Below are 26594 nucleotides of genomic sequence, written 5' to 3'. Positions count from 1 at the left end.
TTAAAAATCATTGCAATGTAGCAATGTTATTTGGGATGCATTGAATAAAAAATTATGAGATTCAGGAGCAATATTCTAGATGGAAATTTAAATGGTGCAGAGGGTGTATGTGAAGAGGAAGAAAGAGAAATTAATTTAATTCCATTTGCTGATGTGACTGTAGCACAACTATTTTTAGGTATAATCCAAACAGTGCATATCTTCTCCATTTTGATTAGTAGAAAATTGGCAGGGAGTCAAAAGAATTAGTATTTCTCAGCACATTATGCCAGAAATGTACAAATAAAATGATATTATCTGTGCCAGTGTGTTTAATTTACTTCTAAGGTTTTAATTTTTTTCCTTCAACTAAACAAATGAGTCCAGCTTGGTTAAAAACATTTTTTAAAAAGTCTTTCACAACTGGCAGCAAAAGTTACAGAATAATTTTTCTTTAGATCCTTGCTGAGAACCTCTTACAAAAAACTTAAATGTTAATATTACCCTGATACTCTGGGTGCAGAATTTCTGTCTGGCAATTTTATATACTGCCAGAGGAACGGGCACATTCAACAAAATGTGAAATTAACATAAGCTAGGAAAATGTGCTTAACAAGGAAAGATTTCACAATAGCCACTTAGGAGTTATTAATAATTCCAATTCCAAAGAAAGCATAGACTAAGAAACAAATAAACTCTATTTGCAAAGTTTTATATAGGCAAGTTCACCAAAGTATGAAGCCATATGCTATACCAATTACACATTTCTACATCGGAGAGAGAATTTATAAATCCTGGAAAATCTCCATTGAGTTATTGTTAGTGTTTAACCTGAATGTAACGTCCAATGTAGCAAATCTATGGATCTTGATCACATTTTCCTGCTTTGATTTTAAGGTTTATGCTTTTGGTACTTTGATACACACAAGCCCATGGGTAAGGCTGCCTTTTTGCACACTCAATGTCTTCTTCTTCCTATTTCTGCAGTGCACAATCTCACCAGATTAAGCAGGACTGGCTGCTCTCTCCTCCCACTGCCATCGCTACTGGGACTGACAGCCCAGCTCCCCACATTTCCTATTATAAATCAATGGCTGCCTTCTTCAAAAGCGACAAAAAGTAGTCTTCATGGGGATTTGGAATCACTGACATGGTCTGTTTCTGAATCCATGTAATTTTCAGTTGGAGATCTTGGGAGATCACACAAAAATCTTTTCTATTTCCTGCCAATACATAGAAACCGGCCCCAAGATTACAGTGGTTTCCTCTAACTCACTAAAGTGACTAAACCTGTGTACTAAGTAGTTAAATTATACACATTTGTTCTTAAAGCTTAAAGGACTTTCATGATTTTAAGACCTGAGTGATTTTAAGACCTGAGATTTGAAGGGCCTGCGTATATGTTTTGGGCTGGGAAGATTTCTTTTTATTTAAATGTGAAGACTTATCTAGACAAAATAAGTAAATAAACAGGAAACCAAGAAAGTGAAGCATTTACCTGGTACTTCAGTGTCTAGTAATTTCAAACAAAGAAGGACAAAACCCCTAAGAAAATGCATCTTACATACTCATGGTCGGGGGTGGATGGATATTAACCATATTTGGTTCCTAGGGAAATTATAGTGACATTTCATCCTGAGACTGATTTTATGTTCTTCAAAATATGTTTAAGTATTTATCTTTGTATTCTTAAAGAAGCTCTCCTTTTTCCTTTTCCTTTTTTTTTTTTTTTTTTTGCTGGAAAGGGGTTAAACTTCATAGCAGCTTTTGTTGAGGCTGTTACTGTTCATGCAACCTTCTGCTGGTCTCTAAAACATCTACGTCATTAACCTTTCTCAGAAGATGGTTGCCTTGTCTTTAGAATATGCCATTGCAAAAAAGAATATTCAGTCTCAACTTTTCCCTGTTAAAGAATACTCCGCTCATTTAAAGTGCAGCATAAGCCAGAAGTTAATATTCTTTACTTTGGTTTCTTTACTGTATGGTCATGAAATAAAAAGCTTATTTAAAAATATAGTAAGAACTTTAAATGTATTTTGGAGAATGTAAAATTAATCTCAGGACAGAATTGCACTATCCCTTCCTTTAGGAAATAACTTTATGAAAAATACCCCATCCTTTGGGTGCTGTAATTTTGTTGGAAACTTAAATCCTTTCACACTTGCTTTTACCTATGATCTGTCCACCCAGAACTTCTGGCAAAATGATCTATTTAACTACATAAGAGAAAAAAATTTACTTCAGAAGCCCTTTTATACATTTTTGCTTAACCATGAAAGCATTTTTCATTCTAAACAGCCTCTGGAGAAATCTGCACACACTGATCATCCGCAGGCTGTGATTTTCTATTGGAAAACAAAAATAAGCTGTGGAAGCCACTTATTGCATTCCAAGTAGGCAACTGATCATTCAATGAGTTAGTCTTTCCTGCATTTCCGTGAAAAGTTGCAGCTGAGTTAAATGACCGCGTCACTTTTTTTTTTTTTTTTTTTTTTTTAGGAGCTACGCAATCACAAAGGTCACTTCTTCAGTCAAGTGCAGCAGATGGGATCTTGAAAGTGCCTACAAGTAGTCTAGAACACCTTGAATCCGGCTGTGAAAATGTAGGGTAAATCTGTAGCTCTCAGTAGGTAAACACCTTATTTAGGTCTGGAGGCATTTTGCTATGTTATTGAGTCATGGAAACCTATTAAAAGAGCTCTATGGGAAATCCAGTCTATATTTTGAACAAAACAAGCTGTCTTTTTCATTGTCACTGACCCTTTACAGACACACAGTACATAATCTTGATTGTGCTTCATTGGTATTTATTGCACATGGACCAATTCCTCACACAGTAGTTAGTTGCACCAGAGTATAAATACTTGGTAAAACACACAAGAGGAAGTAGAATTTACACACAAGTGCTAACTTTCACCAGCAAATTCACGTGGGCACTTGGACATAAAAAAAAATAAAAAATCCTTAAGATAATTATATTTATAATATGGATACAGTTACAGTACCATGATAAAGGAGTATAAAAAGGTATTTTCCCAATGAATCATTAGCTCAATAACATACTAGACAACAGAAGTAGAGTTTGAATTTTATTTAAGATCTGCCCAGCCCCTCTCCCTTTAAAAAATATTTAATTTCTTTTTGTGCAAGTAACATCTTCTGTGGATTTTGTAATTCCTAACACTGTGCAAAAATGGCATTTTGAACCACTCCTTTTTTTTGTTTTTGTTTTTATCCACATGTGCAGTAATCTGAACTGTTTCTCTCTCTCGCTCTCTTTTAATGTCCTGTCTTCAATTGACAGAGTCACATGTCACAGAGAGAGGCTCTGCGCCTGGTCCTTCCAACTAATATTGATACATAAATAAGCTGTTTAATATAAACAAGTCTTTCTATCTGCTGTGCAAATGCACAGTGTGAGGTAGAAATCCCTCAGCCTGACCACCCAGGCGCGCGGGGGACAGCGGGTTTGCCCTACACAAGGAAAGCAAGGTGGGGCTTGTTCCAAGAAGAGCTTAACATTTCTTGAAACGTGATTTTTTTTTATTTTGCCTCCATCCTTTCTCTTTGCTTTCATAACAGCAGAAATCATTACTTAGAAATTAAAATGAAATTTCTCTGGAAAGCAAAAGGAAATATGTCTTGACAAACTGTCATTCTCCTCTCTCTGGCTGGTAGTGTGTTCCTGTTCCCGGGAAAGGGATGGGAGCCACGATGATCGATTTTAATCCCCTCCTAATGCTTCTCCCTTCCCCTAACCCACCCATCTTCCACTCCGGTCCTCTCAGAGAGTGTCAAAAACCACCTGGTGGGGGAAAAAAATCTAAAGATGCATCACACGCACACACAAAAGAAGGCCGGACCACAAACAGAAAAAAAAAAAAAAAAAAAAAAGAAGAAGAAAGAAAAGAAAAGAAAAAAAAAACAACAAGGAACATCAGCAAGCCACTCTCCCATCCCTTCCCAAACTTTCCTTTTTGTGCAACGGTCCGTGGCTTTTCTCTTTGCCTCGGATGATTCAGACGAGGATTGTGGGCTTCGAGTTCACCTGCTATCGGTCTTAAGTAAACACAGATCTCCTCGTTCCCCTGGGAAGCCGTGCCCGGAGTCCGCGCCCCGCGCCGGGCCCTACACCTTGGATTCCGAGGCGAAGCCGGGGCGGCACGGCTCGTCCAGGCTCGAGTCGCTGTCCGCCGCCGCCCCGCCGTTGCAGCCGGCCCAGGGCTCCAGCAGGCGCGCGGGCGGCGTGGCCCCGACGACATCGTCGTCGTCGTCGTCCGAGGCGGCCCCGGGCGATGGCGGGGGTCCGGGCCGGGCCAGACAGCCCGAGGCGCGCGGCCGGTCTCCGTGGGTCGCGTGGCGCCGGCGGGCAGCCCTGCGCGCGCAGCAGAGCAGTCCCTGGAAGGCCTTGCGGAAGTCGGGGCTGCGGCAGTAGATGATGGGGTTGAAGGCCGAGTTGGCGTAGCCCAGCCAGTTGAAGAAGACGAAGAGGCGGTCGGGCACCAGCTCGCGGTGGAAGGCCTTCACCACGTTGGCCAGGAAGAAGGGCAGCCAGCAGAGCGTGAAGACGCCCATGATGATGCCCAGCGTCTTGAGCGCCTTCTGCTCGCGCAGGGCCACGAGGCGCGAGGGCCGCCGCTTACCCGCACGCCCGTTGGCCAGCGGGGCGGTGGCGGCGGCGGCGGCGGGGCGCGGGGGTCCGGGCGGCGGCGCGGGCGCGGGGACGGGCGAGGGCGAGGGCGAGGGCGGCCGCGCTGGGCCGCCGAGGAAACGGCGCTCGCAGCTGTCGATCTTCTTCACCTGCTTCTGGGCCTCGCGGAACACCCGCAGGTACACGAAGGCCATGATGCACAGGGGCACGTAGAAGGAGACTACGGACGAGGCGATGGCGTAGGCCCGGTTGGTGACGAAGTCGCAGCACTTGGGGTCGTTGTAGCAGCGGCGCGCCTCGTCGCTCTCCGCCCGCCACCAGTGCATGAGGATGGGCAGGAAGGACACCAGGGCCGAGATGGCCCACACGGTGCACACGAGGCCCCGCGCCCGCGCGCGCGTCAGCAGGCTCTGGTAGCGGAAGGGCGAGGTGATGGCGAGGTAGCGGTCCAGGGCAATGACACACAGGGTCTCGATGCTGGCCGTCACGCACAGCACGTCCACTGAGGTCCACAGCTCGCAGAAGAAGGAGCCGTACTCCCAGCGGCCCCACACCACGATGGTGGCCCCGAACGGCACCACCAGCAGCCCCATGACCAGGTCGGCGCTGGCCAGGGACATGATGAAGAGGTTGGTGAGCGTCTGCAGCCGCGGCGTCTTGGCGATGGCCACGATCACCAGCACATTGCCCGCCACGATGAGCAGCACGATGAGCGCCATCAGCAGACCCATGCCCGCTGTCCACTGCTGAGACAGCGGCTCGGGGCTTTCGCTGGCGGGAGGCAGCAACGAGGCGGGCGGCGACGCGGGCACCAGCAGCCGCGCCGCGGTGGCCGCGCCGTCGGGGAGCGGTGCGGCCGACGACAGGTTACCGGGCTCGGAGGCGCCCAGGACGAGCACCCCCGCGCCCATGCCGAGCTGCGGAGGCCGGGGGCGGGGGGTGTGGCAGGGCTGGGCCGTGGTTGGGGAACACCCCAGAAGCCCGGGCGGCGTGGTGCGCAGAGGGAGGTCGCGGCCGGGTCAGGGCAGCCGCGGCGCGGGGCCGGAGGCATGGGCGCCGGGCGCCTTTCCCGCAGGAGCCGAGCGCTGTCGCTGCCGCTGCCGCCGCCGCCGCCGCCGCCGCTGCTGCTGGAGCCGCTGCCGCTGCTGGAAGAGCCGCCGGGACTTCAGCATGTTTCTGAGCGCGCCGGGCCCGCAGCTCCGGCACCCAGCACCCACCCCACCCCGCTCCCACTCCCCAAGCCAACCCCCGGGGCCTCGCGTCAGGCTCCTGCAGCCAATCCGGGCAAAGGCACGCCCCCGTCTGGTCTGCACCCCCACCTCCAACTCCCCGCACCCCCCTCCCGTTGGCAATTGAGCGGCTCCTGAGAGTCCCGAGCTGATCGCGTAGCTAGTGCCTCCCGTGCGCCCGCGGGTTCCTGCGGACGCACCCCTTCCTGCGCCCGCTGGTTCCTGGTCCCTGTTCCCCCGCGCCCCCTTCCGCGCCTGGCTCCCCCCGGGGCCCCGTCCCCTCCCTCAGCCCCCACTCGCTCCCGCACCCACTCCTGCGCCCCGTTTGCCTCCCGCACCCGCTCCTGCGCCCCGTTTGCCTCCCGCACCCGCTCCTGCGCCCCGTTTGCCTCCAGCACTCGGCTCCCTCCTGCGCCCCCGCTCCCCCCGCATCCCCTCGACCTGCAGTTCCGGGGTTCTCTGCGGAACAGAGCGCTAGCTCCCTTGAGCGGGGAGGGGACCTTGGTGTTCAGGAAGCGCCAGAGCGCCTGGGACAGCTTGTCCGCCAGGCTTGGAGGAGTTTGCCCTGCGAGCTTGGTTGTGATGTGGGGCAGCCTAGCAGGGTGTGTGTAAAACCCTTCCCCCGTCAAGACGGGACCCAGCCAGCATGCGTCGTGACAGCTTGGGGGATTGGAGGTGGGTGTTAGTGGTTAGAAGAAACTTCCCAGCAGAGCGGGTTGCTGGAGCCAAGCGCGCATCTGTCAAGAATGCTCTCTGGGCGCTGTTCTTGCAAGGATCCTCTGTTGAACCTCGAGTGCAGTAGATGTGGAAAGGAAGCGAAGGTTTGTGCATCTAACAGCTAACGCTGAGGGCCCTTTGGAATCGTACACACTCCTCAGTCCTAGCTAATGAACGTGTGAGCATGATGCAAAAATGTATGCTCATGATATGAAAGGAGAGGCTTAGGGAGACAGAAACGTTGAGATACAGAGTAAACGATACCACCGCGAGGGGGAAAAAACGCGTTTAATTACATTTTAGACTTTTCAATGATAACACCTGTATTTTGTGTTTTATTACTCATGTGATTTTATAATTTGAGCTGGGTCAATACAAACAAAAAGGTACTGTCAGTTTATGCTGACGTAATGAACTGCGATTTCAGATTCCTTGGTCTGCGTGCTTGTTTTCTCCTTTGCCCAAGTTCCCAGATTCTCAAAACTCTGAGATTAGTTTTGAAGGGATGAGACAAGAAAACATATAAATACTCCAGAGGATTAAAATCCAAAAGCATTTAAAGTTGTATCTGTGGTTTTTTTTTTTTTTTTTTTTGAGTTGGCAAATGAATTGCTTTGAAATTAGTGAGTTGTTAACCTGGCAAAAAGGATTATACTGGGGGTGAGGGGACAAGAAAGCCATGAATATGCAATATGGCAGGACTGCAAGCCCCTTCTCTAATTTGGCTCCTGTAGTGTCCTCAGCTCAGGCCTGAAATAAAAAAAAAAATAAAAAAATTAAAAAAATCTCTAATTGAGTCCTTGAGGAGTAAACAGCTTCTAATTGTTTATGTAAGGGTGCATGAAAATGTTATATAATGCTCACAGGTCCTTCTAGCATTGGAATAAGAACAGCGCCCGTAACGAACATCATGTTCGTTGATGGTCATCAATATGACCAAGCTCATATCCTTACCTTGCAAGGAGAGACCGACTTCCACAGCTGTCCAGGTCAAAAGCAAAAAGTAATGTTTTTCAAGTTTATATAAAATCAAGCAGTTTTAACCACTTTCTCTTACATAAATGCAAACATATGAATTTGCTTTAGGCCCAAACCTCAGCATCAGTATGTTAAAACTGGGGAGTGATTTGTTTATTCACCCCCTGCCCATGATTTATCAGCTGATTTTCCAACTTGGGGAGGTTGAGGAGGAGTGGCCAGGAAACAAGAGGCGTTAGAAAGGGGAGGAAGGAGACTACACCCCAAGTTATCCAAGTCACTGAAAGCCTGAGACTCCTGGCTTCTTTCTTTTTATTTTTTTGAGACAGAGTTTCACTTTTGTTGCCCAGGCTGGAGTTCAGTGGCGTGATCTTGGCCCACTGCAACCTCTGCCTCCCGGGTTCAAGTGATTCTCCTGCCTCAGCCTGTCAAGTAGCTGGGATTACAGGCGTGTGCCGCCACACACGGCTAATTTTGTATTTTTAGTGGAGATGGCGTTTTACCATGTTGGTCAGGCTGGTCTCGAACTCCTGACCTCAGGTGATCCACCCACCTTGGCCTCCCAAAGTGCTGGGATTAGAGGCATGAGCCACTGTCCCCGGCCTCCTGGCTTCCTTCTGGACCCACAAGGGGCAGTCTCAAAATAGCCAAGGGATTGGAAGAAGTTGAAATTGACGCTGCCCAGGAAAGGAGTTCTGAGTGCTGAGCTGCAGGGTGAGGCATAGGGAATGTGGGGAAGAGGCTTTTCCTTGCCATCTTTCTGTCAAGTGGTGTTACCGGAATAGAGTGTGTCAACCTTAAATGCCCCCGAAGGGTGGAAGGCATTGCTTTTCTGTGTGCGATAAGGCCAGAACTTGGTCGTAGAGGTTCAGGGCAGAAGCCAGATTGCCAGTAACTTTGCCGTATCATCATTATATATATAAACACATCGTGACATTGGAATTGTTGGAAAACTTTCCTGAAACTTTTTTTCTCTGCTCATTCAGAGATACATCAAGTTTCTCCGAATTTCTGTATAATACATTAAATTATAAACCCTCGAAACCAGAAGGTTATTCTAGCAGGAGTACCAGTACAGGGATCTCAGGAATTCTGGGGGATTTCCTTCAATTTTACTGACAGAAGAGTTTGGAATAGTACATGTTCAACTAGAGTTGGTTGTCTAATAAAAATAAAATGTTCTCAGAACTCCTTTAATTCCTACATTTTATGATTGGTGTTTTTTTTTTTTAACTTTTTTTTTAGCCTAACACTTTTTATTCTTAGGTAAGGATACAAGATCAAGAAGAAAAGGTTCAACGTATCAACTTTTACAGGTATCGGATATTGTAAGTTAAATAAAACTCCTTCATTTCTTCATTCTTCACTTGGCAACTGTTAAAGAGAGTCAGTTCTAAAAACCCATATATTTCACAATGCTTTGGAAAATGACAGAAAGCTCCAACAATGAGGGCTGATCAGCACACTTGAGAGGTCGTGCACTTCTTCCACAGAGTTCCTATCTCAACTTCTTCCTTTCCCATCCCCCCACCTTCACCCCACACCGGGACTTGCCATGGGTTCTATTTGATCTCCCTGTCTCTGGTCCTCCCTGCTCCATTTAATCTGGCATATCATAACCAAAGGAGTATTTCCAAAATGCTGCTTTGACCAAGATGCTTTTCTGTTCAGCAACCTTACCTCTTCAATTTAACATTCACAGTTCTCCCCGGTCCAATTCTAAATGGCCTTTCCAGCCCTATTTCATATTAGAACTCTCCTTATCACCATAACTTGCATTTCTGTATTCTTTTTCCTTTTGGGGATCCATACTCCTTCCTTTTGTACATCTATACTTTCTCACTGGGTTCCCTCCACCAAAACCTCCTCCTGCTTCCCAGCGAATTCAGCCTTGGAGATGTGGCTGGACTCTTTATCTTCTCTGCCCACTGCTTCTGAAAATGATCTCTCCTTCCTCTGACCTATAGTAGTGACTCTGCCAATTTCATTTCAGGTGGCAATTTACAATAGGTTGCCTTTTGATACTTCTTATGTTGTTATTTAATTTTTATATTTTCCCCTTTTCTTCTCTTATAGATTGTAAGCTCACTGAGAGCCAGAATTGTCTCATACATTTTTATATCTCCCATGTTTACTGATATTTACTTGATATTAATGAACATTTAGCTTTGATTCATAAATATATGATATTTAATTTATTAAAATATTCTCATTTTTATACACTTGAGACATAATTGAGTGTTTTAGTAGTTACAATCTTCACTCTTGCTTATAATTTACAGCAATAATCCATATTCTTACCACCTATTCAACATTTTCACATAAACATTTCAAAATACTTTACAAAAGCAAGGTAGGCTCATGAGATAAATGTATATCATACCTATTCGTAGTAAATAAAACGAGACATAGGTAAGAGATTTTCCAAAGGAGACATGCAAGTCCACGTCCATAAAAAATACTACCTGGCCAGGCTCAGTGGCTCCTGCCTGTAATCCCAACACTTTGGGAGGCTGAGTCAGGAGGATCACTTGAGCCCAGGAGTTGAGGCTGCAGTGAAATGTGGTTGTGCCACTGCACTCCAGCCTGGGTGACAGAGTGAGACCCTAACTCAAAAAAAAAAAAAAAAGAAAAGAAAAGAAAAGAAAAGAAAAGAAAAAAGTACTACCTATTCTTCATAAATGACCCAGGTGAAGAGTCTTTTTCTTTAGCCATTATTTATGATACCGAATCTATATATCCAGCCATTTCTGCCCCAGGAGAGTTGCTGATGACTTGAATGTGGTTTCAAGTTGTATATCAAATTAGTCTGCAGAGCAGTGATGAATAGGCATCTAACCCATCCAAGGTTGCAAGCCATGAGCCTGGCAAAGACATTTACATTCTTGAGTTGACTTTACTAGAAAATGAGTTAAAAATAAAAGTGAGTAGCCTAACTGGACAACTGCTGGAAGATACGCCAAGGGATATGTGGGGGAATTTCTTAATAAAACCCCAAGAAGTGTACGAAATCTGTTAGCAAAATGTGCCTTGAGGCTGATAATAGCCTGAAGCTATTTGAAATCAAGCTATAATAAACCAAAGGATTTGTTAGTCAGAGCTTAGGTGGCTGTTTCTCAGAAAAGATGTATGACCTTTCACATAAAGCAACACAACTGCTGAAACAATCACTCAGTGCTAACTAACCAAAGAACACGCCTGACACTTAGGGTCAGATACTGGTTTTGTAGCCACAATTTACACAGGGATGACCAACTCCAGCCATCTTGAAAACAAGCACAGAGAATAGTAGCATAATCATAGCAAAGTGTGGACTATTAGGAAAATTCAAAAGCTTTCCTCTCTCCCCATCCTCGTCCTCCTCCCACACTTACCTCCTCCTCCTCCCTTTTCTCCTCCTCTTCTTCCTTGTGTTTCTAACAAGCACATTGAACAATGCTAGAGCCAATAATAATATTTTTCAAAATGTGGCTGTTTTGCAAAGTGTTCAGACCTGGGAGGTAAAAGGTCCAGGTTTATGTCCCGGCTTTGTTGCTTTTCTGTTTGACCTTTGATATTCACCTTTAAAGTGGACTCACCATTTGCTCCCTTACAGGGTTGTGTGGGAATTAAATGAGATAATGTATGTGAAAGCTTCTTGAAATCACGTACAGCTCCATATATTTATAAAGCAACAAACGCTGTCTTTTCCGATCATCATGACATTGAAAACCATGAAAGGGGTCAGGATTTGCTTGTATGAGAAGAATCAGTTCACTTAGATAAGCTTCTGTTTATCCGCTTGACTCCTTTCTTTTTCACTCTAGATATTAATAGGGTTTAGAGCCTGGATAACCGTGAACTATTTTTAAATACTTTTAGCAAATTACCTTTACAAAAGTTTTTCCCCTTTTTTTCTGTTCTTCCTTAGTATGTACCCTCTTCTTTTTTTAAAAAAAAAGTATTTATGTGATTCTCTTAAATCAGCTCCTTTTCAGTATTTTAGTAGCAGAATATTCAGAGCAGAGAATGGTTTTTTTCCCTCAAGTTAACTATTTAGTGCCATGACTAGTAACTTAAAGAAGAAAGAAAGGACTTAAATACAAGTCTTAATATACAAGACTTAAACCAACATAAACCAAAAATTCTGTTCTAATTCAGTTATATAATGAATAAAAATTGATTGCTTATCAAGTGAAATCTTACCTTAAAGTACTGATGGTAATAGGAATATGAGCATTATACATGATAAGCTATTGGCTGAGTTGTCCTTTAAGTTTGTCCCAGTCCAGAGCTTGTGATGACAACAAGCTGGGATGATTATTGAAAACTCTAGGTTTTATTTTAACAGTAACACAGAACTTTATTGTGTTTCAGACAAAATAATTGTGTTGTAAGAAACTGAGAAGTTAATAGCAACAAGAACCCCAAAACCCTTGTTGTAAGTTTCTGAAGAGTAGGAATGATACCTTTAAATATTTTAGCCCCCTTTTATTCTGGCCTTATAGTAGATACAATACTTACTAAATTCCTGTGTAATAGAAGAACCACTTAAAAGGTTATTTCCAGTGGATTTTCCACAATAAAATAAGACATTGTATTTTCCATTTGGCCATGGAAGATGGCATCTGGGCCATCCAACTGAATGGAATTGCCAAAAGGGATCAGTGGAAGACACTGGTCTGCTTTGCCAGATCAAATCATTTACATTTCTTTCTTTTCACTCTTTTCATTCACTACTTTGAGTAAACCAAACAGGTATCTTCTTTCATATGTTTTTCCACTTCTTTGTATTGTATAGATATTTTTGTAGTTAACTTACTCATTATTTATGTACCGTAAAAATGCCCACCGGCTGGGTGCGGTGACTCACGCCTGTAATCCCAGCACTTGGGGAGGCCCAGGCGGGTGGATCACGAGATCAGGAGATCGAGACCATCCTGGCTAACACGGCGAAACCCCGTCTCTACTAAATATACAAAAAAAAAAAAAAAAAAAAAAATTGGCCGGGCGTGGTGGCGGGCGCCTGTAGTCCCAGCTTCTCTGGAGGCTGAGGCAGGAGAATTGTGTGAACCCGGGAGGCGGAGCTTGCAGTGAGCCGAGATTGCGCCACTGCACTCCAGTCTGGGCGACAGAGGGAGACTCCGTCTCAAAAAAAAAAAAAAAAAAAAAAAAAAAGCCCACCTAGACCCACTCAATAAGTGGAGGCATGCCAAGTCCTTTGCCTCAGAAAGGAAGACGCTAGTAAGACAGTATTGCTGCTGCTTTGGTTTTGGTAACCACTGTGGTCAGGCTTCTTGCTTTAAAAATAAATATCAAGGCCGTGTGCGGTGGCTCATGCCTGTAACCCCAGCACTTTGGGAGGCCGAGGCGGGTGGATCACGAGGTCAGGAGATCGAGACCATCCTGGCTAACACGGTGAAACCCCGTCTCTACTAAAAATACAAAAAATTAGCCGGGCGTGGTGTCGGGCGTCTGCAGTCCCAGCTACTCGGGAGGCTGAGGCAGGAGAATGGCGTGAACCCGGGAGGCAGAGCTTGCAGTGGGTGGAGACCACGCCACTGCACTCCAGCCAGGGCAACAGAGCGAGACTCCATCTCAAAAAAAAATAAAAATAAAAATAAAAATAAATAAATAAATATCAAACCATTGACATGATGTTTATTTTCCACAGTGTCTCAGTTTTGTCGCTCCTTGAGTAAGACCTGTTGGAGACCTTTATCCTATGATAGCTCTTTATTTCCAGGACATTATCTCCTAATTAGATATTAAGGGGGCAATAACCTTCTTTGTAAACTTCTCCTAAATATAAATTGCTTTCATACTAGTGGAGAAATATTGTCCTTTTCTCCCTATTTTAAGATGGAAAAACTGAAGCATAAGGACAGAGACGTGTGTGAGAGTTCACGGAAAGTGAAAGAGAGTTCTTGACTTTCTTGCCTCCTTAGCTAGTCTTTAATTGCTAGAACATTTGCATCCTTAACAGATATGGGCCCACCTATTACTACTTTCAGCATAATTTAATTGCGTGATATATTTGGGACTTGGAGCTAGTCATGGAGTACTTTTTAAAATAAACAACTGAACAAATGAAGCAATTCTATCACGCAATGTTTATTTGTATTTTTCAGTTGGCTTAAATATAAAAGATCTGACATGACAATCACATTTATCTACACAAATGAAATTCTCATTGTTGATACATTTTAGCGTGAATGTCTAAAAGCGCCGCATGGATACTAGCTCTGAAGACAAAGGAATCCCAAAGAAAAGCCAAGCAATTAAGTCATTTAGTTCTTTGTTTTGTTTTGTTTTCATCTGTAACTGGAAAAAGACTTCACAGAAGACTCTTACTGAGAATCACAGGCTCAAAAGTTGTGACAACCTTGGGGGACTTTATTTAGGAGCTGAAATAGAGCTATTGGGAAGTTCAGAACAGAAAAGTAAAAAGCAAAATCTACCTACTTTGTCATTTCCACGTCCTAATAAGTATCATTCCAAACCAGGTAGTTAAGTAATATGCACGTTGAGCTTTGAGATTCTCTGAGAAGCCTAATAAGCCTTGAAAATGAGCTAAAATGGTATTGGCATAGTCCTGAACATTTTTTTTTACTGATTCTGAAAACCTCTAAAGTGATTATTGTATTATGACTTGTCACCGTTCCCACCCACTGCCTACCTTTCCTTCTCTCCTACTGCCAACCACTCCGCAGCACGCATTTTTTGATGTTTTCCCCCTTACTAATTAATGGAGATTATATACCCTTTCATGGCTCGAGCTTAAGGAGAATGATCTTGGTGTAAAAAATGCCCACACATATATTCTCTACATATTGTAGAGTTTTAGTAAGTACTCATCTGAGAAACAACTTAGCATAAAAGTTTATTAAGCAAGTTCAAAACTCATAATTAACCTTGCAAAAAAAGTCGTCAGTAAAGTACTCAGTCTTGGTGGAAGAGTTAAAAAAACATCCCTGGCCTACACATTTTCGTTTTCGGTTTTCCTTTTTTCTTTTTCTTTTTTTTTTTTTGAGACAGTCTCACTGTGTCGCCCAGGCTGGAGTGGAGTGGTGCAATCTGGGGTCACTGCAACCTCCACCTCCTGGGTTCAAGCGATTCTCATGCCTCAGCCTCCTGAGTAGCTGGGATACAGGCAGGCACCACCACGGCTGGCTAATTTTTGTATTTTTGGTAGAGACAGGGCTTCACCGTGTTGGCCAAGCTGGTCTCCAACTCCTGACCTCAAGTGATCTGCCTGCCCCAGCCTTCCAAAGTGCTGGGATTACAGGAGTGAGTCATTGTGCCTGGCCTGGAGGTTTTTTATTACATAATTTCAAATTATGATATTTTAGCAAGATCACACTAATTTTAGTAGTGTTAAAGTTTACCTCTCTTCGTATACCACAATGATTCCAGAACACAGGCTCTGGAGTCAGACTGCCTGGGTTCAAATCCGGGTGCTGCCAATTAGTAACTGAATGACTCAGACAAGTTACTCAAACACATTAGGCCTCCATTTTGTTACCTGTTAAATGGGAACAGTAAAAATCATATGTACCTCTGAGGCATTTGGGAAACTTAATAAGGCATATAAGGCATTTGGCATAGTGCTTGGCTCATCGTAAGCACAGTACTTACTAAACATTAGCTTTTATCTTACCATTGTTTTTTAAACAACAGCAACAACAACAAGATTATAGCATAAAGCCAAAAAATGTTCTGTACCAAACTAAGCATGGCAAAAGAGGCAGCTTCCAATCAGTACAAATAGAGTAATTGAATAAATTCGTTATCTTTAAAAGTGAGAGGATGTAGTAAAGAATCTAATTTGGTAAGCACACTTTTGATTTCAACAGCAAGTTTATTCCTTTGTAGTCATTTAATCTGATTATCATTCCGTTTGGGGAATTAGAATTTCCCAAACTAATTTGGTATCATGGAAAGACCATTCCAGAGAGTTCCATCCTATGGTATAGCCATATTCCAAATATGTGAAATAACAACCACCACAGAACAAAGCACCACTGGGCTCCTAATAGAGGTGCATATTTCCCGAGCTATAATTGATCCCAGCTGTTTGTTTTTATGGCATAAATTTATAAGCCGAAGGAGTCCAGAAGAGTTTCTTGTGACCTGCTTTGTGTCTGTGTAGCACAACACTTGAGGTATCCTTAATATAAGGGATCTGACATCCTCACCCCCTGAGAACAGGGAGTAAAGGAATAGACAACAAAAGAAGTTTTTCAAGTTCACGTGGTTTAACCTTTAGGAGTGTCTTTCAGCCTCTCACTTGGGACTACTAATTTTATTTGAGAACCAGTTTTAATGTCTTGTTTGTCCGGTTTCTGTTCTTTCACAACAGATTAGGACAAGCAAGGAAATGAGGATGATGCAGAAGGCAGAGGGGGCTGTCTGGGAACTTCGTATTAGAGGAGAAAACAGGGAAACCAGTGATGCCACTTACTGCAGAAACAAAGGGTCTTCTGTCCCTCTGCAGTCACTGATAAACCTGCATCAATAGGAAAGGTTTAGATTGGGTTCAGCTGCCTTTGGTTTGAGAATGTGGAGGGTGTGTTTTAGAAATATTTTTGTTAAAAAAGAGTAGAACGAAAATTTTGGAACTGCTTATTTGTCAGAACACTTGAGTTATCTAGAAAGTGAATTTATATGGACTTTTCATTCTGCAATGGTGCTGGATCAGTGAGGTGTGAGTTCGTTTGCTAGAAGTCCATCCTCAAGTTGTAGGCAGAATTGTTTCCTTCTGAGGGCTGTGAGGGAAGGATCTGTTCCATTCCTCTCTCCTTGGCTTGTACATGGCTGTCTTTTCCCCAAGCTTGTCTGTGTGCCTGTCCAAATTTCTTCTTTGGATAAGGACATCAGTCATATTGGGTCATGGCCTATGCTAATGACCTCATTTTAACTTGATTACCTCTGTAAAGACCCAATCTCCAACTGAGGTCACATTTTGAAATACTAGGGGTTAGGACTCCAACATATCTTTTTTTTGGTGGGGGGTAGGGATGCATTTTAACCTATAACAAAGTGTTACTATCTGTAAGAAAGCTGCCTCCTTCTGCACAATCTTGAGTCATCTGTAATCTCACGCATGCCACGATTGTTACAAGACTTCCAGCACAGAGAGCAAACAGAACAACTTCTTGTCTCTCACACTAAAGGTGGCTCCCCAAATAAATGGTATCCAGGCCCTGGTGGAAACAGTCCACTTTGTTACTGGGTTTCAGTCTGTTACAAAGTCACGAATACCTCAAGCTGATTGTTGGCAGATCAAGTTCCCATATGTTCTGTGTAGATCTTAGCAACGAGGAGGGCAGGGGAAGTGTAAGGCATATTCCTACTAGGTACGTATTTAAGACAGTGGTGAATGTACTGTTCTGTTATAGCTTTCATTACAAATCAGGAAACTCAATTGTGTTTTCTTACAAATGGAGTAGAAAAATCCAGGTTTGCCTTAATAATTTGGATTTGAGGAGAAAAATAAGCCAATCCAGTTGGTTGAGTGTGTAGACCACTTTTCAGCAGGATATTTTGATATCGTGTAGTCACACTCAGAATCTGTTTCTACAGCTGCAACATGCCTGTTGTTTTGCCCAAGCTGGAATCAGTGTAAAAGACAGCAGATAACTGGGTAGGAGAGATACAGCAAACCTTTATAACCACAGAACAAAGCTGGCCTTTGAGGCAAGATAAAACCAGGTCCTCATATAGAATCCATTGAAAAACAGGATTTTTGTGACCTTGAAGTAGTGATTTTGATTGGAATAGTGCTTCAGATCCTAAAATACTGGCTATCAGAGGTTTGACTAAGAAATAGCTCTGCTCGGAATATTGATTTTGATTGATTATGGAATGTGAAGGTTGTGGACATCCAAATTTTATACTAAATTGTATACTAATTATACATTTGTCTATTGTCCTAATTGTCCTAAATTGTATACTAATTATCCTTTATGATACTGATGACGGAGCTAACAATATTTTATGGACATCCGAATTTTATGTGTCCTAGATTGTATACTAATTATCGTTTATGATACTGAGAACAGAGCTAATAATATTTTAACTTGTGCATGGGCTGTAGACCAAATGTACCTGTTTTGTGCCAGTAAACAAAACCCAAAGATCTTTACCTGGTTAAGTTTCAAGAACTCACACTGATGCCTTATCTTGCCACTTAATATTAATATGGCTCAAGACTTCCCTGGGTACCTCTGCTGTAGGAGCTGAATTTGGAATCAGAAGTCCAGGCTTAACACATAGGAAAAATCCAAGAATCACTGTAACATAGTATGTCATTCTCTGTGATGCCAACACCTCCTTACAGATATATCTGCTATCTTCGTGTTATATAAACAGCATAGATTTAGATGTGCTGTATGTGAGTCTCTATTTTAAAAATGCCATATCTAAGTTTTTTTAATGGCTAGGCTAGTTCAGTTGAACAATCTTATGTAAGATGGCACTTAAAAGCTGAAATCTGTGGGTCTGAGTATTATTTAGTCATCTGTTTGTGCAACTGTATTTTTAACTTAATGTATGATGAGCAAATAGTTTTTCTGAACTCCCAAGCTGTGTTTCCATACTTCAGTTTGCTTTATTTTTCTCTCAATTTTCTTTAGAATACATTACAGAGAATTTGCTCTGGAAACTTCATAATGATTTGATGAAGGTAGGTAGCATTCACCAGAAAGCAACAAACCAAATGACCAAAATTAAAAACTTGAATGGACTCATAGGACAATATGTATTCTTTCCTACACCATTTAATGGAGACATAGATCAATGTCACATTCTCTTTTACAACCAATGACTAAGCACCAGACCCTGTGTGAAGGGCGTTGTTCACAACATCTCATGTAATTCTTGTAATAGTCTTGTCAGATATTATTTTTACTTTCTAAAGGAGGAAATTGAGGCTTACAGAAGTTGAGCGATTTATCCAATGTGTCACAACCTAGCAAACGGCGGAGCACGACTCCCAGCCCAGGTCTGTGTGATTCCAAAGTCAGAGCTTGTCATCAAAAAGAAGACCTCATTTTATTTTCTCCTTATTTGAAACAGCTTACTTATTTGAAACTAAGATCCAAATTCAACTGATATTAAAAATCTTCAGTGAATCCTGTCCCACGGCACCACATGAATTTTTGTCTATGCCTATCTTTTGCAAAAACTTCATTTATAAGGATGTTGTCCATGAACACTTACAGGCTGGCTCTTCAAGAGTTACCAGATTCTGTCTCTTTGGCATCTCCTCATTTCTACTGTTGCCATGTCAAGGAGTCTGCTTCTCAGCTTCCTGCAAAATCACCAATTATGTCCTTTTAGTACCTTCAAGATTTTTTGTTCCAAATTTTTGTGACCAAGAGGTTTTGTTTGTTTGTTTGTTTTTTTTTTTTTTTTTTTTTTTTTTTTTTTTTTTTGAGACGGGGTCTCCCTCTGGTGCTCAGGCTGGAGTGCAGTGGTGCGACCTTGGCTCATTGCAGCCTCAACCACAATTATCCCATCTTAGCCTCCTGAGTAGCTGGAACTACAGTCACACAGCACCATGCTTAACTAATTTTTGTATTATTATTATTATTATTTTGTAGAGACAGGGTGTTGCTATGTCACGCAGGCTGGTCTCAAACTCCTGGCCTCAAGTGATCCTCCAGCCTCAGCCTCCTGAGTTGCTAGGGTTACAGGAGTGACCCACTGTGCCCAGCTCAGAAAATGATCGTTCACTGGACGACACACCTCCAGGAACAGCATAGCTGGGAGCTGTGCTCATTCCCCTTGGGCTCTTTCTCACCCCTCTGCTGCCCAGGAAGCAAACCCAGCTTCTCACCTTCACAGGTTTTAAAGCGTGAGTCAGGTACGAAACTCTCTGTCCCCTCAACATCATAAGACACAGGCCAGGCTCGCCAAAGATTCTTTTCAAGCCCCCTGCTTGGTGTGGGGGTGGCTGGGAGGAGCCATGGCACCCCTGCAACTCTACCCTGCAGGAACTCCAGGATTAATACCCAAGCCTCTTTTAAGACTCTAAGGATGAGGCTATAGGGTCCTTGGGCAGGGTTGTTTTTTTTTTTTTGGGTCACCCTCTGCGGTGTCTGCATGGAAGGTCTAGCACCTCTCTTTAGAATGTGTGGGCACCTAACACTCCTTTTCTTAGCTTTGGGGTCTCAGCTCAGACTGCAACGTCAGAAAGTCTTATTTTAACATCCTGTTCCATATAGGTTTGGTAGTTGAGCACACAGTTGTAATTAGAATTGCGGTGGAGGAAGAGGTGGGAGGGGAAGGATGCTGAAGAGTGTGTAGAGAAGAAAGACAGTCAAAGACAGGGGACACCAGCCTTAAAAGGTACAAAGGAGAAGAGCAACCCACACGCCCAAAAGAAAAAAAATTCCAAAATGTGGAGGTGAGATACTGGGAGGTGAGAGAAGACCTAGGAGAGAGTGCTCTTGTGGAAACAAAGAGAAGAGTTTCAAGAAGCAGATGCCAGGGGACAGAGAACCAACTCTCTGATATTTGAAGTGTTCCTAGAAATTAAAAATAAATAGATGAATAGCTCAACAGAAAATGGGCAAAGTCCATGAACAGATAGTTCACAGCCAAAGGAAGATAAATGGCCCTTCAACATTTGAAAAGATGCTCAGCGTCACTCTCAATAAAGGAACTGCAAGAGAAAACAACACTGAGATCCATTTCTCACTTTTGAGATTGGCAAGCATTTTGAGGATACTGTATTGGCAAGATTGTTGGGAGCTGAGCCTGTTCATGCATTGCTGGTCAAGAGTGTGAAATGGTCCCCTCCTGTGTAGGTGAACATGACTGTATCTACCTGAACCACACAAAATTCACTCTGACAAAGATAGTCACTCTACTCTCCTTGAAACTGTTTCTCACTTGAGTTCTGGGGCAGCAACTTTCCTGGTTTTCCTCCTATTTGATGAGTTCCTTCTTTTGAACCTTCTTTATTGGCTGGCCTCTAAACCTTGGAGTGCACAAATCCTCAATCTGGGATCCTTTTCTTCATCCACCTCATCCAATCCCATTGCTTATTTTTTTAATGCAGTAAATTACAAATAACATAAAACTCACCATTTTAAAGTGAATAAGCACATCCATAGAGATAGTAGATTAGTCATTGCAAGGGGCTGGGGGAAGGAAGGAATGAGGAATGAATGCTCAGTGGGTGAGGGGTTTCCTTTGGGGGTGATGAGAATGTTCTGGAAAGTGGTGATGGTTGCATGACCCTGTGGATGTCCTAAACACCACTGATTGTATACTTAATGATGGTTTTAATGGTAAATTTGATGTTATCCATTGATATTTTACCAATAGCAAGTCTGTCTGTGGATTTTCTTATTCTGGATGTTTCGTGTAAATGAAATAATTCATTTAGCGTAATGTTTACAAGGTTCATCCAGATTGTAGCATGTATCAGTAATCAGTACACCATTCCTTTTCATGGTTGAATAGTAGTGCATTACACACACACACACACACACGCACATTTTGTGTATCCATTCATCAGTTGATGGACATTTGCGTTCCTTCCACCATTTGACTATTGTGGGAAGGTTCTTTCTTGGTGTGAGGCCTGGGTCTACCCAGGTGAGGTAGGCCTGGGACTCCATCCTGGAGCCTCCCAGGTAGCACTGAAGCACTCAGACATAGGCTGGGGCTTCCCCTGGTGAGCAGGCTGGCTTTCAAACCAGACAGTCCAGAACAGTTGGGATGGGCCAGTTGCATAAAATCTCCTCGAAAAGTACAAAAAGAGCAGCTCAAATCACCTAAAGGGATCCTGACCTGACTCAGGTGGTGTCTTATCAGTGGCAGGCCATGCTGGGTACCTGAAGGCCAATGAAAGTGCCTTCCACCAATGAGCACTGCTGAGCCACCTACTCCACGTGGATGTCTCTGGGTTGTAAAGTAGTCTTTTATCCACAAAGCAAGTCAGATCCTTTTTCTGGATCTGGATTTTTTAAATCCATGACATCACCATTCTATTGCGTCAAAGGCACACTTTCTGCAGCTATACCTTTGCAATCCTTGGTTTGCCCCCCTCAATTCCCACTTTGTTTGAGGGGCACGGGGTTTTGGAGTGCCCACTCCTCCCATCTGCTAGCTGCATGACCTTGGGCAAGTTACTGCACACCTTAAATCCTCCACCTCTGCATCTGAAGGTTGATCAGACCCCTTGCAACCTCACAGGGTTGTTATGAGCATGAAATGAGCCATGCCCAGAACACTCAGCCATCCATGGCTGCCCACTGCCCTCCTGATTAGATCTGGCATTCAGACCCCCACCTCATGTTTCTCCGTAGCTCCACGGGGTCCGCCACAGGTTCTGTCACCCCTAGCAGGCCAGGTCCTGCATTTTTGCTCAACTTTTCCACTGCTTACGAGAAATCTTCTTTTCCTCAGGCTTTTCTTTTTTCCTGCATATATTTTTTAAAAACAAGAAACATGTATTAATTTTAAAATCGGGGGAAATAAAACCTCATCATTCATGTTGTTTTGAACACCCACCCTCACTTCAAAAGCCATGTCTCCGTAAACTCTTTCTCCGTCACTTCATCACCTGGAGTTGCTCACGCCTTTGAATGATCACTGGATTTTTAAAACCTCTTCCAGAGCTTGCAGCAAGCATTAGGCTTTCAGGTACTCAAAAGCAAATATATTTGGGGATTGACTACAAATGCACAACCAAATTGTTATAGAAATCAGAACTCTAAGTTCTCCAAGGGCAGAGCCTGATTTTTTACTCATTTGAGCATTTCCACTTTGATGTCTGATAACTGTCAGGCTAGACTGCCATACCCTTAGTTTAAATAAATATTTGCTTAATGGAATTGTTATCCAATGGATGTAAGAACAAGCAAGACTTACACGCCTTGTCTCTTATGAATAGAATAAAAATAACCCATGTAATTCATTAGATTAACTGATAAAAGGTTTTGTTCTTTTGCCTAGAGAGAGGCCTATAAAGGGATCATCTAGCAGGTTTTGTTTGCCAGATCCAGAGGTTTAATACTATTTGAGTGGTTGAATAACAGCAGCAATTCTAACGATATATCAGTTCATATCTATCTTTTGACTTTTCACTCATGAAAAATATTTGAAGTGCTTTTACAAGGGGCAGATCCTGCAAGAGGATGTGGTGCCGCCCCGAATTCCCGGCCTGGAAGAACAGTACAGTAATTGTGAAAGAATGTGCATCCCAGCGTGGGCTCTTCTCCATGAAGATTATAACCATTCACACTGCTGTGGGGGATTTCCCTTTACCTGCCTCTTACCTTATTTTATGGGAACAGTTTAATTACAAGGAAATGAACTCCATCTTTCAAATTTTCAGTTCCTCTGGGAGGTTCACACAGGAGAGCTAAGCACTGTTGTTTTACTCTTATTGACAAGAACGGAAGGCTGAATGAGACACAGTACCCACTATTTACTTGATCATGTGCTTACGTTTTCTGTTTTTCTAGATGTGAGTCAACAATTCTTGTTGCATGCTTACTGACTGTGATCACCATAGAACTGCCTTCTCTAAGCACCTTTCTGTTGTGCTGAAGTCTGTACAAATTAGGTTAGTCCCTGTCCAAAAGGAACTTGTCATTTAAAGCAGTATGAGGGCCAGTGTTTCTCAACTGGGGGCATTTTTGTCTCCCTGGCAGACATTTGGCCATGTCTGGGGACATTTTTAGGTGTTGAAACTGGAGAGGGGGCTGCTACTGGCATCTAGTTAGTAGAGGCCAGGGATACTGCCCCACATCCTATGATGCATAGGATGCCCCACAAAGAATTATCTGGCCCCAAATGTCAATAGTGCTGAGGTTGAGAAACCCTGATATAGACATATGGACTTAAATACACAAATATTTTTTAAAAATAAGTGATGGATTAAAAAATGTTTATGTGCGGCTGGGCATGGTGGCTCAGGCCTGTAATACCAGCACTTTGGGAGGCAGAGGCGGGTGGATCACGAGGTCGGGAGTTTGAGACCAGCCTGGCCAACGTGGTGAAACCCCGTCTGTACTAAAAAATACAGAAAGAAATTTAGCTCGGCGTGGTTGCATGTACCTGTAATCCCAGCTAGTCAGGAGGCTGCGGCAGGAGAATTGCTTGAACCTGGGAGGCAGAGGTTGTAGCGAGCTGAGATCACGCCACTGCACTGCAGCCTGGGTGACAGAGCAAGACTCCGTCTCGGAAAAAAAAAAAAAAAAGGAATGTACGTGTGCTTCACAGAATGTCTTAGTCAAGAAATCAGAGGAACAGAGGACAGTTGGATGGCCCCAGGTGGCAGAGTTGATCATCTTTTTTCCAGTATTTGAGCAGATTTTGTGAGAGGGATAAAGACAGTAAAGGAGATCACTTGGGATCCAAAAGATCTTCAGGAGAACCTCTGGTAAATCAACATCATTCTGATTTTTAACATCAGAGTCTACATTGGATAAAAATGCCAATCATTCAGGAAAAGATCACTACGAGCAAGGATTTTAAATTGGAAGACGTGGACTTTATTCTGTGATTACGAAATTGCTCAAAAAGGCCAGAAACAACTTAAAGTTCAGAATCATATTAATTCGAAGACCAAAAAAGAGGAAGCATTCAGCCAGCTCAAAGAAATTATTGCATCATTTCCTTGTGTGCGGTTTAGGTTAAAAATAACCTCTAATCCTTGTCAAGAGTAAACTGTCTTGTCAAAGAGAATTAGGAAATTACCTCAGGGCGGGGGTTACAGGGTGGGGTAGAGAAGGAGCAGTTCATCAGGAAGAAATTACTTGCTGCATTTTGAGATGAACATTTCTGAATGACTGAAGAAAATGTGGGGCTAAGGGAATAGGGACTCCGATGGGAGACAGGAGGAACGTGCATGGGGCATGTGTGTGTGTTGTGGGGGTAGGTGAAGAGGGAGGCACTGGAGTGTCCCTGCCATGGAGGTGGCTGCCCTGGGTGGCTTGAACTGCTGGGCCATGGGGTGTTCTTCTCTTCTCCGTCTTGGGCAGCCTGCTTTGGCCTTGGGTGCTCACAGAGATAGAGTGTAAACCACAAGCTCTGTGCCTATTGGGCCATGAAGCGAAATTCGATAAAGGCTGACCTTCGGCTGAGCCCCAAAGCCATCTCAGCACCTCGACATCACCACAACATCACCACAACACCCCGGAGACAAGAACAGACATGTTCTTTAGAGGGTCATGGCTGCACTAGCTGTAAAGAAGTGGAGAGGGAGAATATATGCCAAAAAAAGGCAGCTTCTTGACCTTCAGATTCCTGCTGCCAGCTTCCTGTTTGCCACTGGGTTGCAAACTCCATAAAGCAAAAACCAAGCACAGGGGCTGTACGAGTGCCCTGTGTTCTCATTGTAGATGCTCCAATATTGGCAAATGTGACTTTCAAGTGTGGTGATGTCCTATCCCTCCAGCCTTGTGCAGTATTGTTTCGTGGTTTCCTTGTAATTTGGGACAAAGCATGTTGCTCTGGAAGCAATCAACAAGACTCATGCCAGAGTTCGTGTGAATATGCATGTTGTGGAAATCGGCACTGAAAAATTAAGGATTTTTTTTTTTTGAGGAGCTACATTGTACTGAAGTTGAAGAAAATATACACATTTGGTCTTTCTTTCTTTCTTTCTTTCTTTCTTTCTTTCTTTCTTTCTTTCTCTTTCTTTCTTCCTTCCTTCCTTTTTCTCTCTTTCTTTTTTTTTTTTTTTTTTGTGAAATGGAGTCTCGCACTGTCACCCAGGCTGGAGTGCAGTGGCGTGCGATCTCTGCTCACTGCAAGCTCTGCCTCCCAGGTTCACACCATTCTCCTGCCTCAGCCTCCCAAGTAGCTGGGACTACAGCTACTCTTTCTTTCTTTCTTTCTTTCTTTCTTTCTTTCTTTCTTTCTTTCTTTCTTTCTTTCTCTTTCTTTCTTTCTCTTTCTTTCTTTCTTTCTTTCCTTTCTTTCCTTCCTTCCTTCTTTCTTTCTTTCTTTTCTTTCTCTTTCTTTCTTTCTTCTTTCTTTCTCTCCTTCTTTCCTTCCTTCCTTCTCTTTCTATCTCTCTCTCTCTTTCTTTCTCAAAACCACAATCACTCCGAGCATGGCTTTTAGTTCATGAACAGTACCACAATGTCCTGTGTAATAAGCAAAATAAATAAGCAAGAGAAACATGTTTTTCTGAAAACAATATAACCCATGTGGTGAAATAGAAGGAACAGAGGCTGGATCTGGGTATAAGTCCTAACTTGCCACTTGCTAGTTATATGTCTTCTGATATTTGGTTATTTCATCAGCAGAATGGAAAAGACATTTCTTCCTTCCTAGGACTATAATGTGGAATGAATGAGCCAATGTATGTAGGATTCTTGCAAGGTGCCTGGCATTTGATACTTAATAAATAGTATTTATTATCATAAAAATTTGTGTTATAAGTGCTATATCTCTAAGAGACATCTTTCCATCAGTGATTGCATATCACATTATATAATATGCCACAAAACCATACAGCTACCAGTAGTCAGCTCGATAAAAGCCAACATTTATCATCCACATTGTCACCAAAAAATTTATGTGAGGCGCTCACCATGTAGAATTACAACTTGCTCACTTGTTTGCGAGTTCTGTAAGCAGTGGGAAATTAAAAGTATGTGTGTGTACGTCAGTGTAAATCTGTTAGAAAAATGCACCATAAAGAATGACATCATTTGGTTTGAAGGCTAAGAAGATTTGGTCAGCAGACGCATGCGGTAGCTCAAGGGAGATACTGGGACTCTAGCCAATAACTTCTGACCTACAGACAAGAGAAGAAACTCTGGGAACTGAAAGGTCTCTTATCACATTTTAATTCAAAAAATAAAATCTTGCACTCCAGAGCCAGAATCTATAAATGGAATAAGATATCAGGAAGAGTGGTGTTCAGTGACAAATAGTGCATTTGGCAAAGAGCATTCCACATGTGGCATCAGAGAAGCAAGGAACTCTTTCCACAAGTATTTCTCCAAGCTTACCATCGAAACAGATGGACGGCAGGAATTTAATGCTGTGCATTGATAGGACAATCTCAATGCCAGGGAACTTTG

At 43.1% G+C, this 26594-nt stretch overlaps 1 protein-coding gene and 2 long non-coding RNA genes across 3 annotated transcripts in view, besides 7 other annotated features; 1 reads left to right on the top strand and 2 right to left on the bottom strand.

The window, feature by feature from the left end:
* LOC124902554 (uncharacterized) overlaps nucleotides 1-2712 on the top strand; it is a 36113-nt gene extending 33401 nt beyond the window's left edge. Inside the window, exon 2 of the long non-coding RNA XR_007062383.1 lies at nucleotides 2479-2712. This is a non-coding gene — a long non-coding RNA (uncharacterized LOC124902554). The remainder of the gene's footprint in view (nucleotides 1-2478) is intronic.
* Nucleotides 2770-5808, bottom strand: ADRB1 (adrenoceptor beta 1). Its single transcript, NM_000684.3, has one exon. It carries the CDS (start codon nucleotides 5539-5541, stop codon nucleotides 4108-4110), a length of 1434 nt encoding a protein of 477 aa, NP_000675.1. The 5' UTR covers nucleotides 5542-5808; the 3' UTR covers nucleotides 2770-4107.
* Nucleotides 5711-5770: a silencer, noted in NCBI's record as "silent region_2841". NCBI's record gives its function as "represses an Ori minimal core promoter by ATAC-STARR-seq in GM12878 lymphoblastoid cells {active_cell/tissue: GM12878}" and the evidence as "EXISTENCE:reporter gene assay evidence [ECO:0000049][PMID:35858748]".
* Nucleotides 5841-6120: a silencer, noted in NCBI's record as "silent region_2840". NCBI's record gives its function as "represses an Ori minimal core promoter by ATAC-STARR-seq in GM12878 lymphoblastoid cells {active_cell/tissue: GM12878}" and the evidence as "EXISTENCE:reporter gene assay evidence [ECO:0000049][PMID:35858748]".
* Nucleotides 6391-6440: an enhancer, noted in NCBI's record as "active region_4080". NCBI's record gives its function as "activates an Ori minimal core promoter by ATAC-STARR-seq in GM12878 lymphoblastoid cells {active_cell/tissue: GM12878}" and the evidence as "EXISTENCE:reporter gene assay evidence [ECO:0000049][PMID:35858748]".
* LOC105378493 (uncharacterized) lies at nucleotides 18297-22321 on the bottom strand. The gene is made up of 3 exons (XR_946333.3): nucleotides 22063-22321; nucleotides 21841-21971; nucleotides 18297-18847 (listed from the first exon to the last, which is right to left on the bottom strand). It is a non-coding gene; the product is annotated as an uncharacterized LOC105378493 (long non-coding RNA).
* Nucleotides 22349-23548: an enhancer, noted in NCBI's record as "P300/CBP strongly-dependent group 1 enhancer chr10:115785885-115787084 (GRCh37/hg19 assembly coordinates)". NCBI's record gives its function as "activates an origin of replication core promoter dependent on BRD2, BRD4, P300/CBP, MED14 and CDK7 cofactors, with strong dependence on P300/CBP, by STARR-seq in HCT116 cells {active_cell/tissue: HCT116}" and the evidence as "EXISTENCE:reporter gene assay evidence [ECO:0000049][PMID:35650434]".
* Nucleotides 22868-22917: a silencer, noted in NCBI's record as "silent region_2839". NCBI's record gives its function as "represses an Ori minimal core promoter by ATAC-STARR-seq in GM12878 lymphoblastoid cells {active_cell/tissue: GM12878}" and the evidence as "EXISTENCE:reporter gene assay evidence [ECO:0000049][PMID:35858748]".
* Nucleotides 23188-23297: an enhancer, noted in NCBI's record as "active region_4079". NCBI's record gives its function as "activates an Ori minimal core promoter by ATAC-STARR-seq in GM12878 lymphoblastoid cells {active_cell/tissue: GM12878}" and the evidence as "EXISTENCE:reporter gene assay evidence [ECO:0000049][PMID:35858748]".
* Nucleotides 24569-24908: an enhancer, noted in NCBI's record as "active region_4078". NCBI's record gives its function as "activates an Ori minimal core promoter by ATAC-STARR-seq in GM12878 lymphoblastoid cells {active_cell/tissue: GM12878}" and the evidence as "EXISTENCE:reporter gene assay evidence [ECO:0000049][PMID:35858748]".

This window comes from Homo sapiens, chromosome 10 (genome assembly GCF_000001405.40).
Source record: "Homo sapiens chromosome 10, GRCh38.p14 Primary Assembly".
NCBI lineage: Eukaryota > Metazoa > Chordata > Mammalia > Primates > Hominidae > Homo > Homo sapiens.
This window is presented reverse-complemented; position numbering and strand designations above follow the sequence as displayed.